General features: G+C 37.7%; 1 protein-coding gene across 50 annotated transcripts in view; it reads left to right on the top strand.

Annotated features, from left to right (window-relative positions):
- The window catches only part of TUT4 (terminal uridylyl transferase 4), a 130189-nt gene that overhangs the window by 30927 nt on the left and 83804 nt on the right, over window positions 1-15458 (top strand). For all 50 annotated transcript variants that reach the window (XM_017000804.3, XM_047416324.1, XM_047416327.1 and 47 more), the window contains 2 exons: window positions 6483-6646; window positions 12825-12941. In XM_017000804.3, the coding sequence (XP_016856293.1) occupies window positions 6483-6646; window positions 12825-12941 (281 nt within the window). The remainder of the gene's footprint in view (window positions 1-6482; window positions 6647-12824; window positions 12942-15458) is intronic.

Below are 15458 nucleotides of genomic sequence, written 5' to 3'. Positions count from 1 at the left end.
TTACTTACTTTGTAACCTTCAATAAACTGCTTATCACTGAAAAATATGTTTTCTCATTTTTAAAAAAGTGGAGATGCTGCTGCCTATGTTATGAAGATTAAGTGAAATAATCCAGTAGAGGGTTTCATGTAGTACCGGACACGTGGGCATGCAATGGCAATGACTATCACTTATTATATTACTCCAATTAAATGCAGTTTTTACTTGTTAACATGGAGAATGAGTTGAACTAGTTTCAGGAAGCTAGCTTAAGGAAGCTAGTAGACCAAGTAGAGGTTCTTTTGGGAAACTTGGTATAACAAATTAATAAAAATGATTTGTAGTATACAGTCATTTTTCATAAGTAAGTGCTTCTCATGTTTTAAAGAATTCTCTTTAAATTCATGTATAATATGATATGTATAGTATTAGCCTTGAAGTCATGTTTATACGTAATTGTTTAGCACTTCTTTTTTTCCCATATGAAAACATCCAAATTAATAATGTTTGAATTAATGATTTCTTATTAGATTGATTCTCAGTGAAATAAATACAGTAAAACCTTTATATCTAGATCATTATCTTTTTTTTTGGAGACAGAGTCTTGCTCTTTTGCCCTGGCTGGAGTGCAGTGGTATGATCTTGGCTCACTGCAACCTCCACCTCCCGGGTTCAAGTGATTCTCCTGCCTCAGCCTCCTGAGTAGCTGGGATTTACAGGTGCATGCCACCACACCTGGCTAATTTTTGTATTTTTAGTAGAAATGGGGTTACACCATGTTGATCAGGCTGGTCTTGAACTCCTGACCTTGTGATCCACCCACCTTGGCCTCCCAAAGTGCTGGGATTACAGGCGTGAGCCACTGTGTCCAGCTGTCTTTTTTTTGTTGTTTTTTGAGACAGAGTCACCCTGTCACCCAGGCTGGAGTGCAGTGGCGCGATCACAGCTCACTGTAACTTCTACCTCCTGGGCTTAAGTGATTCTTGTCCTTCAGCCTCCTGAGTAGCTGGGACTGCAGGCGTGTACCACTACACCCGGCTAATTTTTGTATTTTTAGTAAAGATGGGGTTTCACCATGTTAGCCAGGCTGGTCTTGAACTCCTGACCTCAAGCCATCTGCCTGCCTCGGCCTCCCAAAGTGCTGGGATTATAGGCATGAGCTACCATACATGGCTAGATCATTATCTATTTGGACTTGATAGGTTATATAGAAATTTGATTGATCTCAGTCTTCTCCATTAGGCCTAACTTCAGCTCCCACCTGGCACATCATTTTTCTTTTTGTCATTTATTCATTCATTCAATAAAATTTTGTTTTTTGGTGTCCACTACATGCCAGGAACTGAACTAGTCATTAGGAATATATAAGTGATGGAACCGATAATTCCACTCTTATGGAGTTAATCTTCTAGTGGGATGAAACAGATAACAAACACAATAAATAAGAAAAATATGTAGTAAGTTGGCCGGGCACGGTGGCTCACGCCTGTAATCCCAGCACTTTGGGAGGCCGAGGCAGGCGGATCACCTGAGGTCAGGAGTTCAAGACCAGCCTGGCTAACATGGTGAAATCCCGTTTCTACTAAAAATACAAAAAACTAGCCAGGTATGGTGGCGTGTGCCTGTAGCACCAGCTACTCGGGAGGCTGAGGCAGGAGAATTGCTTGAACCTGGGAGGCGGAGGTTGCAGTGAGCTGAGATCGCGTCATTGCACCCCAGCTTGGACACCAAGAGCGAAACTCCATCTCAAAAAAAAAGAAAATAAAATATAGAGAGTAAGTTAAGTAAGGTGGTTTTAAATCCTTTGAGAAAAATGAAATAGGAACGACATAGGGAATGATGCTACTGTTGGTATTGGTGGAGTTAAAGTGTCAATGAGAAAGTGACATTAGAGCAAATACTTGAAGGAAAGAGGTGAACCAGCCAGGTGAATATTTGAGGAGAGAGTGTTCTTGATCTGGGTTTCTCAAACTTTAATGTGTATATGAATTGTTTGGGATTCATATTAAAATGCAGAGTCTTGGGTCTCATTTCCAGAGTGTTTTGATTCAGAAAGCCTAGGATAAGGCCTGATAAATTGGATTTCTAATAAGCTCCCAAGTGATGCTGATGCTGCTGGTCAAGATAATGCTTTCAAGCAGCCTGCACCAACTCATCTTACTTTCACTTACATCACCCTTCATTGTGTTTTCAGTATAGTAAGCAGAATGATCCTGTTAAAATGAGTCAGATCACATTACTAGTATTTAGAGTGTTTCAGTGGCTTTCCATCCATCAGAGTAAAAGCTAGTGTTCTTACAGTGGCTAGTAGAGCCTTACACGATCTGTGACACTCCCCTATTTCTCTGCCTTGCCCTCATTTGTTTACTTCTCACCCTTTCTCTCTGCTCCATCCGCATAGTTTTCTTGAATTTCCTCAACTGAGAAGATAGATATCCATATGAGGAACTTTGCATTTGCTTTTTCCTCTGCGTCAAACACTCATTCCCCAAATGTCCATATGGCTAGCTCTCTTAAACTTCCTTTGCCTTCTTTTTTTGAGATAGGGTCTCACTCTGATGCCCAGGCTGGAGTGCAGTGGCGTGATCTCAGCTCACTTCAACCACCGCCTCCCGGGTTCAAGCAATTCTCCTGCCTCAGCCTCCCAAGTAGCTGGGATTTATATGTCATAAAATTCATCCTTTTAAAGTATATACTTCTGTCTTGCTGTTGGGTCAATTTTTTTTATTTAAAAAATCTAAGTATTCAAGGCCAGGTGCAGTGGCTCGCGCCTGTAATCCCAGCACTTTGGGAGGCAGAGGCGAGTGGATCACCTGTGGTCAGGGGTTCGAAAACAGCTTGGCCAACATGGCGAAACCCCGTCTCTACTAAAAATACAAAATTAGCTGGGCGTGGTGGCGCATGCCTGTAATCCCAGCTTCTTGGGAGGCTGAGGCAGGAGAATCGCTTGAACCTGGGAGGCAGAGGTTGCAGTGAGCCGAGATTGCACCACTGCACTCCAGTCTGGGCAACAAGAGCGAAACTCCGTCTCAAAAAAAAAAAAAGAATATTTTACTAAAAATCTAAGTATTAAGTGTTCAGTAGTTTTTATTATATTCACAAAATTGCGCTGCCATCACTATCTAATTCTGAACATTTTCATCACTCTACAAAGAAACTCCATACCCATTAGCAGTCACTATTCATTACCCGCTCCTCCTCCCCACTGACAACCATGAATCTACTTTCTTTCTCTTTAGATGTACCTATTTTATATAAATGAAATAATACAATATGTGGCCTGTTGTGCCTGCCTTATTTGGCTTAGCATATTTTTTTCAAAGTTAATTCATGTTATGGCATGTATTAGTACGTCATTCCCTTTTATTGCCGAATAGTATTGCATTATATGGATATATTACATTTTGTTTGTCCATTCATCAGTTGATGGATATTTGGATTGTTTCCATCTTTTGATTATTCTGAATAATGCTGTTCTGAACATTTGTGTAAAAGTTTTTGTGTGGATGTATGTTTTCATTTTTTCAGTATATATATTTAGAAATGGAATTGCTAGTTGTATGCTAACTCTATATTTAAGTTTTTTGGTGATAAATACATGTAAGATTTTACCATCTTAACCATTTTAAAGTATACAATTCAGTGACACTAAGTACATTCACAGTGTTGCACAGTCATAACTAGTGTCTAATTTCATCATCCCAAAAGGAAACCCCATGCCCATTAAGAGTTACTCCCCATTCCCCACTTTCCCCAGCCTCTGGCAACTACTAATACACTTTCTGTTTCTATGTATTTGCCTATTCTAAATATTTCATAGAAATGAAATCATACAATATGTGGTCTTCTGTGTCTGGCTTTCATTTAGTGTCATGTTTTTAAGGTTTATCCATGTTGTAACGTGTATCAGTACCTCATTCCTTTTTAAGGCTGTTGTTATGGACTGGATTATGTCCCCTCCCAAATTCATATGTTGAGGCCCTAACCTCCAACATAATTGTATTTGGAAACAGGGCTTTGAGGTGGTAATTAAGGTTAAATGAGGTCATAATGGTGAGGTCCTAATCTGGCCTTATAAAAAAGGAGAAGAGAGAACCTCTGTCCTATAAGGAAAGGCCATGTGAACACACAGCAAGAAGGTGGCTGTTTGCAACCCAGGAGAGAGCCCTCACCAGACAGTGACCTTGCTGACACCTTGATCTTTGACTTTCCAGTCTCCAGAACTATGAGAAAATAAATTTCTGTTGTTTAAGCCACCCAGTCTGTAGTATTTTGTTGTGGCAGCCTGAGCTGACTATGACACCTGAATAATATTCCATTGTATACCAATGCCACATTTTGTTTATCCATTCATCAGAAATGGGTTTTTGGATTGTTTCCATCTTTGGCTATTGTGAATATTCTATGAACATTCATGTACAAGTATTTGTGTGGATACAGGTTTTCAATTCTTGTTTTGTGAGAGTATTAACATGTAATGAACTATTGTTTTTGGAACACAATTTAGGACGTTCTGCCTGGTATTATTTTGTTTTATATGTTGATTCCAGAAAATTAAATAATTTCATATATTTCTGACTTTTGAAGAAAGGCAGCTTTCTCTAATTCTTTGTGTTAGCAGAAACGATACTTTTACAAGATTTGCTGATGTTGGTTACCTTGTCACACAAGGCCAGTTATAAATATGGAAAAGAGAAGAAGGTTACATTATTAGATTGTCTTCTTACCATCCTTTTTCATGAAAAGTAGAAATAATACTAGGATTTCATCTTTTCTTCTACATTTCCATAATAAAATGGTTACTAAAAAACTAAATCATTTTTCCAAATATTAGTACATAATTGCAAGTTGCTTATAGTGCATCAATATTCCTCCAACTGTAATTTAAGAAACACTTATGTAACCTAGCCATACTTCTCATGTTTGAGTCCTTTTTATAACATCCTTATCTGAGTTTGCCTTCCTAGTCTAGAAACTCCTGTGCTCTTGTGGTAGGAAATGCACCATCTCCAGAGGCATACCATTTCTTTGTTCAGAAAATTAGTGCTATCAAAAGGTAGGCTTGACTGTCAGGGTTCCTCTAGATGCCATGCAATTTTGAGGACAGAATGCCATGCAATTTTGAGGACAGGCTTTTGAGGACAGAATGGAGAGATTTGTTGATGATCTATGAGCATTTCTTTTTTGAAATACTTGTAGATACATCCAGATTCATTTATTTATTCAACATGACACAGAGCATTAGCTCAGATCTAGGCATTGTATTAAAATCTGAAGGTAAAAGTAAGACCCCGGTCATTAGCATCAAGAAATCCGTCATCTAATGTAGGGGACAGATACATGAATACAAATTCCATTACTCTGTAAATGTGAGATAATAGAGGGTAATAGAACAAGAGAATGTCAGACTGGCTTATGGAAACAAGTGGTGCTTAAGCTGAATTTTGAAGGACAGGTAAATATTAATGGGGGAGCATCAATGGAGAAGGGAGTAGCATATGTAAAGATATTGAGACTTGAAGCAGCTTTGGTGATTAATTCTGGCACATTTAATATGAAGTGAAAAGTGTCGTGGCAAGATCTGAGGTTGGAGTTACAGGTAAGTTAGCTAGATTTTTTTCTTTAGGTTTTGGCTTAAATGATAACTCCTCAGAGAAGCCTTCTCTGGCTCCCATATCTAAAGTTGGTCTCCCTCTCAGTTCCTTGCTTTTTTCCTTTGTAACATTTATTACAACTTGGAATTATTCTGTTTACTGCCTTCATGAGGTCAAGGGACTGTGCGTAATATGCTAGGGAGTTAAAACTTTATTCTGAACTCTTCAAAAGCCATTTATGTGTTTTAAGCAAGAGAATAAGGTGATTTGGTTTATATTTTAAAAATCGCGCTGGTGGGAGAACCTACTGTAGGTTAGATACATACTGCTAGATGCTGCAGATGCAAAGGTGAAAACATAGTCTGTGCCTCAAAGAGATTACAATCTAGTTAGGAGGCAGAGAAGCAAAGGAAAACCATTAATGTAGTGGAGATATCCAGGAGTTCTGTGGAAGGAAAGAAGAAGGAGCCTTGTGTGGGTTTGTGGTCTGGAGTATACATATGTTGTTTTAATTGCTAGTGAATTTAGTTCAGTGACTAATCTTCTTTGAGTGGGACTCCAAACAGTTTTTTTATCAGATTGACTTCAGAGATTCTCCAAGATGATTATGTTATATTAGCTTTGTGTAATTAGCTTTGTGTAATGTAAGTCTCAGTTATGTATCTCTTGATGGATAGATTGGAAGAACAAGCTAGTCATTTGACCCATAAAGGTTTTTCTTTGTGACTTTGGATACCATGTCTACCTCTTACCTATATTTTATATATGCATACCAACTTGTATACTTTCCTAAGGAAAATATAAGGAAATAATATTTTTTCTGTGTATAAATTTAATGTCTGTTTTCCATTAAAAAATTTAAAAATTTACCAGTTCTGATGATAACTGAGTGATTGCTTTCTTTTCTAGGTAAAATGAAGAATGATGAATCTAATAAAGAAAATTCTTCAGAGATGGACTACTTAGAAAATGCCACTGTGATAGATGAATCTGCATTGACACCTGAGCAGAGGCTGGGGTTGAAACAAGCAGAAGAACGCTTAGAAAGAGATCACATCTTTCGACTTGAAAAAGTATACTATGTTGTTTTAGTTATTTGGGGGGAAATGTGTGTTTCATAACTGTTTTCCCCAAGTACAGCTTTTTTTATTTTTCTTTTATTCATAAGACAGAGGTTGCATTCATCTTTCCTTACTTCCCTCTTCTCTACCTTTCTTCTTCTTTCCCTCTTTTCTTCCTTGCCTCTCTTTTTCAGCAGTTACTTATTATCTGTGAGTCTGACTTCATTCATCCCAAGAGTTGGCAAACTATGGTCTATCCCTTGCTTTTGTTTTTGAATGGGTTAAAATACACCTAGTCTCCCCACCGTTTTTGGTAAACATTTTATTGGAATATAGCCATGCCTATTTGTTTACATGTCGTTTATGGCTACTTTCATGCTACGATGGGAAATTTGAGTTGAGTAGTTGTCACAGAGCTTATATGGCTTGAAAAGCATAAAATATTTAGTCTTTGCCAAAGCATAAAATGTCTACCAAAATATTTATTCGCCCCTTTATAGACGAAACTTGCTGACCTCTGATTTAGGCACTCATCAAATAGACACTGAGCACTTGTTTTGTGCCAGGTATTCTGATAGGCACTGGGGATGTATTGGTGAAAATGGCAGTTTCTTCCCATTAGAAGTTAAAAGTCCATTCAGATTGATGGAAATAAAATAGCATTTTATTTATTGAACCTGTATTTATTGAACATTAACTGCGTAATAGGAACTATCCTAGCCATTGGTATCTTATTCCTGTGTATTAATTTCTTAATCTAGAAATACACATTCCTGGCCTCAATAAAAACACTGCTAGGTTTTGAAGGAAAGAATCACAAATCACGGCCAGGCCCAGTGGCTCACGCCTGTAATCCCAGCATTTTGGGAAGCCGAGGTGGGCAGGTTGCTTGAGGTCAGGAATTCGAGACCAGCCTGACCAACATGGTGAAACCCCGTCTCTACTAAAAATACAAAAATTAGCGAGGTGTGGTAGTCGGTACCTGTAGTCCCAGCTACTTGGGAGGCTGAGGCAGGAGAATTGCTTGAACCCAGGGGGCAGAGGTTGCGGTGAGCCAAGATTGTGCCACTGCACACCAGCCTGGGCGACAGAGCAAGACTCCATCTCAAAAAAAAAAAAAAAAAATCACAAATAAAACTATTGACAAACAGATACTTGGGTTATTTGTAAATATGCTTACAAGGAAATAGGTCATCATTCTTGATAAATAAGGAAAGAAATGGTATGATTTTGTATAGTTTAGAAAAATGAAATTATATCTAGATTGAACAAGACAATCCTGGGTTATTAATAGAACTTACAGCAGAGTAGTCGCCACATGAAAAGAGAAAGGAATATCAAGAAGTAGAGGACCATAATACAGGAGAGAGTTTGGGTTGTATAGTTAGTATTACAAGATCCTAGTTAAAAGGAAGTCTTTTTTGCAATTTGCTCTTATACTTTTTGTTTTGTTTTGTTTTTTGAGACAGAGTCTCGCTCTGTTGCCCAGGTTGGAGTACATTGGCATGATCTCAGCTCACTGCAACCTCTACCTCCTGGGTTCAAGCAATTCTCCTGCCTCAGCCTCTTAAGTAGCTGGTATTACAATTGTGCGCCACCATGCCTGGCTAATTCTTGTATTTTTAGTAGAGACGGGGTTTCACTATATTGGCCAGTTTGGTCTCGAACTCCTGACCTCAAATGATCCACCCACCCTGGCCTCCCAAAGTGCTGTGATTATAGGCAGGAGCCACCGTGCCCGGCCTTTTACTTAGTTATGTCTTTACTTAGTTCTTTCACTTTTCCTCTGGAATTAGTAAATTTCTGGATGACATCTCAACTGACCTTGGATAAATCTCTATCACTGGAACCTGATTCTATCTCCTTATTTATAATATAATAAAGATTGACCTACCTGGTAAAATAATTCAATTCTGTTCATCTTTATTTAGTACTTAATACATAGCAGATTTTGTGCCAAAAACTTTACTTGTGTTATTTAATCCTCATAACAGCCCTATGCGCTAGGTGTTATAATTTTGTCCATTGTCAGAATAAATATTGAGTGCCTTTTATGTGCCATGATCTAGTACCTGACGTTTTAAAAAACGTGATTGCTTTTCTAGGAGTTCACTAGAGAAAGACACATAAGCAAATAAGAAAATAAGCAGAGAACTGGTTGGGAAGTTACATAGGAGTGAAGCAGGAAAGGTCAGTTGTTATTGAAAGAAGGAAGAAGTTGGGATGCAATAGGTATTTGATGGTAGTAGGAAAAATGGCCTGGGGTGAAAATAAAGCTTGGAAGCATTGGAAAACATTTTATTTGTTGTTCAATTTATATAGTCAGTAATGATGTAAAGTTACTGTGCCAGTACCAGCGTAGATATTTGTAATCCCTTTTCTTTCTACCTCTTTATTTCTCATGCCCTCCAAACTTATTTTCAATTCATTGTACTCTTTTTTTTTTTTAAATTATTTGGCCTCTTGAACTTGGTACAATTCATTGTACTTTTTTTTTTTTTTTTTTTTTGAGACAGGGTCTCATTCTGGTTGCCCAGGCTGAATTGCAGTGGTTCAGTAATGGCTCATTGCAGCCTTGACCTCCCAGGCTCAGGTACCTAAGTCTCCCGAGTAGCTTGGGACTACAGGCATGTGCCACCAAGCCTGCTAGTTTTTTGTATTTTTTTAGAGATGGTGTTTTGCCAGGTTGCCCGGACTGGTCTCGGCCTCCCAACGTGCTGAGTTTACAGGTGTGAGCCACAGTGCTCGGGCAAATTCATTGTACTTTTTTTTTTTTTTTTGAGACAGGGTCTCATTCTGTCTCCCAGGCTGGAGTGCAGTGGCGCGGTCTCGGCTCACTGCAACCTCTGCCTCCCAGTTTCAAGTGATTCTCATGCCTCAGCCTCCCAGGTAGCTAGGACTACAGGCATGCGCTACCACAACTGGCTTGTCCTCTTAAGTAACATTTTTCTTTATCAAATTTAGACACTCATTAAGAATATTCCCAGGTTTTTGTTTTTTTTTTATTTCTTCAGGTCCTTTAGTTCAGTGTTTCCATAGATTATCTAATTGAGGAATAAAGATGTAGACTGTAGACTTTTGCTCTGTACCAAAGAAGAAATAAGTCCAAACCATTAGATCAGAAGGCTAAATTTTCCTATGGTTGAATGTTAAATATTGAGTTGGAAATACCCAGAAATCTTTGTTCTAGCTTGTTTGCAGAAAGGTAAAGATTTACTAGTTGGTTTATTTAACAGTAGAATAAAATATAATAAACAGTGTTTAACTTTTTTTATGTATTTTTTTTCTGTGAAACTAGAAAGTTTATGATGATGAGAGCAGTTTTGTCTGATTTGATGTTGTGCCCAATATGTGCCTTGCACGAAGTGGTTGGTTGGTAATTAGACTGTGCACAGTGGTCAAGTGCGTGGATTTTGGAGTCATTGGGTCTAGCTCTGCCACTTATTGGTTGGATAACCTTGGATAAATTATTTAAATTCTTTAAACATCAGTTTACTCATCAGTAAAATGGGATTGATAACAATTATAACACCTAGCTCATAGGACTATTATGAGGATTAAATAAGATAATACAAGTAAAGTTTTTAGCACAAGTCCTGGTATGTAGTAAGAAATAAAGATGAGCTACTTGTAGAACTGAATTATTTTTACCAGGTGGGGCAGTTTTCTATTATAAATAAGGAGATAGAATCAGGCTGTAGTGATACAGCTTTATCCAAGGTCAGTTGAGATGTCCTCTGATGCCTTCTGACTCCCCATTCTGTGTAATACCAAGATTTTCTTGGTAGACTTGTCTTTGGTCTGCTAACATTTTACAATTGAAAAGTTTATATGATTGATTTCATGACTTCCTTAGTGACCTCATCAGTACACAGGGCTTTAGGTATTCTGTATGTATGCTTTCAACTCCTGAAAGCAACTCTTTTTACCACCTTCACCACTCTCACCTTGAACTAAGCCAACATAATCTCTTTTTTGGATTATTGAATTATGCTGTTAACTGCAATAGCCTTTCCTGCTTCTATTCTCAATATAGAAAGCAAATGATCCTTTTAAAATATAAATTAGATCTTGTAATTCTCTGCTCATAAACCTTCAATGGCTTTCCCTCATACTTAGAATAAAAGCCAGAGTCTTCACAAGGGATTTTGTGATCTGTCCCCTATTAGCTCTCTGTTCCCAGTTATGCTAACTTTTTTGTAGTTTCTCAAATATTTTAGGTACCTTCCTGCCTCAGGGCCTTGGCATTCACTTTTCCCTCTGCTTGAAATGTGTCTTTTCAGATATCCACACAGCTTAATCCTTCACTTCCTTAAAGTTACTTTATCAATAAGGTCTTAAGTGATGTCTCTACTTTTAAAAAGCAGTAACTCCCCCGACCCCAGGCATATTTGTGCATTTGTTTATTACCTGTCTCCTTACACTGTAACGTAAATTCATATAGACAGGGATTTCTATTTTATTTACTGCTCTTATCCCCAGCTCCTAGAAAAATGTTTGCTGTATAATATGAGCTCAATATATTTGATGAGTAAAGAAGTAGTTGTTTTGAAACTAAGAGGTAGCGTTTTCTTTGAGGACTTAATTCATTCTCCAGTAGGAACTGATTTGACAGAATTTTTATGCTAGAGAATTGAAATAACTAGATTGAGCCAACTTTTCTTATTTACTTGTTGCCTTGGGCAAATTAATCCCTGAGATTTAGTTTGCCAATAAAATGGGGAGTTCTGATAGGGTTGTTGAAAGGTTAATACTCTATAAGGGATGGCTATATTTATTTTTAGTCTGTAGCAGGATTGTTGCTAAATTTGGAGCAAGTTTCTCATTTAAAAGAAATTATGTAATTTTCTGAGGTGAAAGAATCTTTTTGTCAGAAGCTGAAGCCTGTTGAATATCATAAATCAATCTGAAATAAAAACTAAGCATTGCTAAAGTTTCAGTGTAAGGCATTAGAAACTTTTAAAATTCCACATGTATTTATTGTGTGTTTGTAATTTTTTATTGTGTAATCTGCGTAGAATGTTGACTTCAGATTCAGGTGTACAGGAATTTAAATTCAGTGTCTTCCACTTAATACTTGCTATATCCTTGTAAAAGGTGCAGGTTCTATGGGCTTTTGTTTTCACATCTATAAGATGAAAATAATGTCAATTTAATCAGATGATTAGGGGAATTAAAATGACAAATTGTATGTTAAACACCTAGCATAGTGCCTGGCACATAACAAGTATTCAGTAATTACTAAGTTTTATTAGTATTTTGAGAATACATACACGAAGTATGAGTGACGTTCTGTGACTGATAGTTTAGTGTGTTAGAATTGTTATTCCCTTCAGTTGTGACCTCAAGAGGTTATTCATTTATCCCCATGATACTGTGATTGGAGTGTTTTTCGAACTCAACTTTTGAAATTTCTTACATGTTTGTGGCCCATTCTTTTGAAATCCCCAATTCGAGGGCAGATTTTATTTTTTTATGGTAATCAAAATGGCTGCAAGTTAAATTTGAAATCAGTTTTGGGGACAACATTGGAATAAGACTAAATAGCAAGACCACTTTTCTTTTTTTTTTTTTTTTTTTTTTTTGTTAATACGAAGTCTTGCTCTGTTGCCCAGGCTTGAGTGCAGTGATGCGATCTCGGCTCGCTGCTGCAAACTCTGCCTTCTAGGCTGAGACAATTCTTCCACCTCAGCCACCAGAGTAGCTGGGATTACAAGCCTGCGCCACCATGCACGGCTAAATTTTGTATTTTTAGTAGAGAATGGGTTTCTCCATGTTGTCCAGTCTTGTCTTCAACTCCTGAGCTCAAGTGATCTGCCAGCGTCGTCCTCCCAAAGTGCTGGGATTACAGGCATAGCCACCACACTCAGCCCGACTGCTTTTCTTACATTGGATTCTAAAGATGATAGTAGGTGAATATTAAACATAATTTAGCATTACCATGATATTGTTAGATATCGTATTAAAGTTAGTATGTAATCTCCTATGATAACTATTTTGAAAAAGGACTACTATCTCTTCAGTATATAAGTTTATTAAAAACTATTACTTTAGAAGAAGGAAAGGATAAAGAAAAAACCTTCAGTGCTTATTTCTGTCTACTTACATAATTGTATTATTCACTTATATAGTCAATAGTTTACTCCTCTGTTTTCTGAATAAAGTGCATTTTTAAAATTTGTCTCTTCAGCGATCACCAGAATATACCAATTGTCGGTATCTATGCAAACTTTGCTTAATTCACATTGAAAATATCCAGGGGGCTCATAAACATATAAAGGAGAAACGACATAAGAAAAATATTTTGGTAAGTTCTTTTTAAAAAATACTTTTATTTATTTTTCAAGTTGTAAAACCATATTGAATATTTTTTATTTGTGAAACTAAAAATGAAATATTTGTCCAATCTTATATTGGTAACTGAAGTGATAGCTTTGGAAGCAATTGTTGCCTTCCTTATCTGAGATAATCAGGAAGGAACCTTGTTGAGACCGGTTTGCTCATCCTTTAGAATGTTGATTCCTAAGTTTAGAGCTGTTAGGTACAATTAGTCCATCCAACTGATGTTTATTGAGTTCTTGTGTGCTACTTCTAGGCAGTGGTGAATAAGATAGTTGTGGTTCCTGCCCTCAGATTTTCTAAGAATTGATGAGGGCATGCGTTGAATAAAGATTTAAATATAATGAGTCTTGTTAGGGGGGGAAGATTGTGCTAAGGAGGTGTATGAAGATATTTTACTTGATCTAGAACAGGGGAGGTTTCTCTGAGAAAGTGACTTTTGAATGAAGTAGTAGTTTAAATGGCAAAAAGGTGAGTGGCCTAGAAGGGTAAGTGGGAGAGCATTTTACACAAAAAGCAGCATGAATTAAAAGTCTTTAGGCAGGAAAAGGCATGGCATATGAGTAACTTTAAGTCTAGTATGATTGGAACAAAGAGAGCTGGGGGAAAATGATGTGATGTGAAGCTGGAGAAGTGCAGACAATTAAGAAACTTATAAGCTTCGGGAATTTGTAATTTTTCAGTTATTTCTATTGAAATATCCCATAGACATAGATATGAATAGAGGGCTTTTAAAAATGTATTAGTAAATTAGCTATTTAATTTTTTCTTTTTAAAGTTACAACAGCAGTAATAATACTGTGTAACCTCTTATCTCTAGGTCTTAGCTCATGTATCTTCTTTAAGAAATATTCTACCTGACCCTCTCAGCAAGTCTGGGTTGGATACTCCTTCTCTGTGCCCCCATAACAACTTCCACATATTTTGATCAGAAAATCTAACACATTGTATTCTGGCTGTCTACCTTCTCTTCCCTTCTAGACTTCAATATGCAGTGTTCTAGAAGGCATATTTAGTTATTTTTGTTTCTGAGTTCCTTAGGACAGTGTCTGACAACAGTAGGTGCTCAACATAGTTTTCTTGAAAACAACAAATGAACTGAAGCAGATAGAACAGGGACAAGGGAGTAGTTTAGGTGATAATAATTAGGAATTTTCCAGAAATGTCAGAAGATGCCTATCATTAGTTCCAGGAAGCTCGGGCTTGCAAGCAAGAAACCTTTTTTTTTTTTTTTTTGGAGACAGAGTCTCACTCTGTCTTCCAGGCTGGAGTTCAGTGGTGCAATCTTGGCTCACTGTAACCTCTGCCTCCCAGGTTTAAGCGATTACCCTGCCTCAGCCTCCCAGGTAGCTAGGATTACAGGCATACCATGCCTGGCTGATTTTTGTATTTTTAATAGAGACGGGGTTTCACCTGGGCAAGCAAGAAACTTAAAAAGAAAATCATACCTAGGCTGGGTGCAGTGGCTAAGGTCTGTAATCCCAGCACTTTGGGAGGCTGAGGCAGGTGAGTTGCTTGAGCCCAGGAGTTTGAGACCAGCCTGGGCAACGTGGCAAAACCCTGTTTCTACTAAAAATACATAAAAATTAGCTGGGCATGGTGGCATGTGCCTGTAATCCCAGCTTCTTGGGAGGCTGAGGTATAAGAATTGTTTGAACTCATGAGGTGGAGGCTGCAGTGAGCCAAGGTCACACCACTTCACTTTAGTCTGGGCGAGGGAGCGAGACTCTATCACAAAAAAAAGAAAAAGGAAAACTATACCTATACACATTACAGATTGAGTATACCTTATCCTAAATGCTTGGGACCAAAGTATTTTGGATTTTTTCAGATTTTGGAATATTTGCATTATACTTTAATGAGCATTTCCTTTGAGCATCATGTTGGTGTTCTAAAAGCTTCAGATTTTGGAGCATTTCACATTTTGGATTTTCAGATTAGGGATGCTCAGCCCGTATAGGGAAACTTTAGAACATTATAGAAATGAACAAAAAGAAAGCAAACTTGAATGCAGCCATATAGGACGTATACTTTTGGTGAAGTTAGAGTAACAGTGGATTTACTTTTCCCTTGAAATGACAAACAAAAAAAAAATACAGAAATATGAAGCAGTGGTTTTCAGGCGACAGAGTCAATGAATGAAAAACAAATGGCCTGAGCCCAATGTTGGCTCCAGCTTGAGAGTTTCTAGGTTGCACTATAGGGAAGGGAACCCAGTGGACTCTCACAGTTGAAGAGAGAGACCTTAGAGTGCACTAAGTCCAAGATAGCTAAAATTCACAGGACAGTGTAACTAAAATGAGAAAACTGCACAAAAAGAAATCCAGAGAACTGTGGATGATCCTCTTAAAGTATTCAGCACAATGCTGATTGGTGCATGCATATGAAAAAGCTTCCTGAACCCAGGGAAAGAATTGTCAGAGGAAATTAGACCAGTGATTGGTGCTCATACAGGACTTCTTCCTATCCAGACTGGAAAGCCTCG

The sequence above is a fragment of the Homo sapiens genome, chromosome 1, assembly GCF_000001405.40.
Source record: "Homo sapiens chromosome 1, GRCh38.p14 Primary Assembly".
Lineage (NCBI taxonomy): Eukaryota > Metazoa > Chordata > Mammalia > Primates > Hominidae > Homo > Homo sapiens.
The sequence above is the reverse complement of the archived record's forward strand: the minus strand, read 5'-3'. Positions and strand labels throughout refer to the sequence as shown.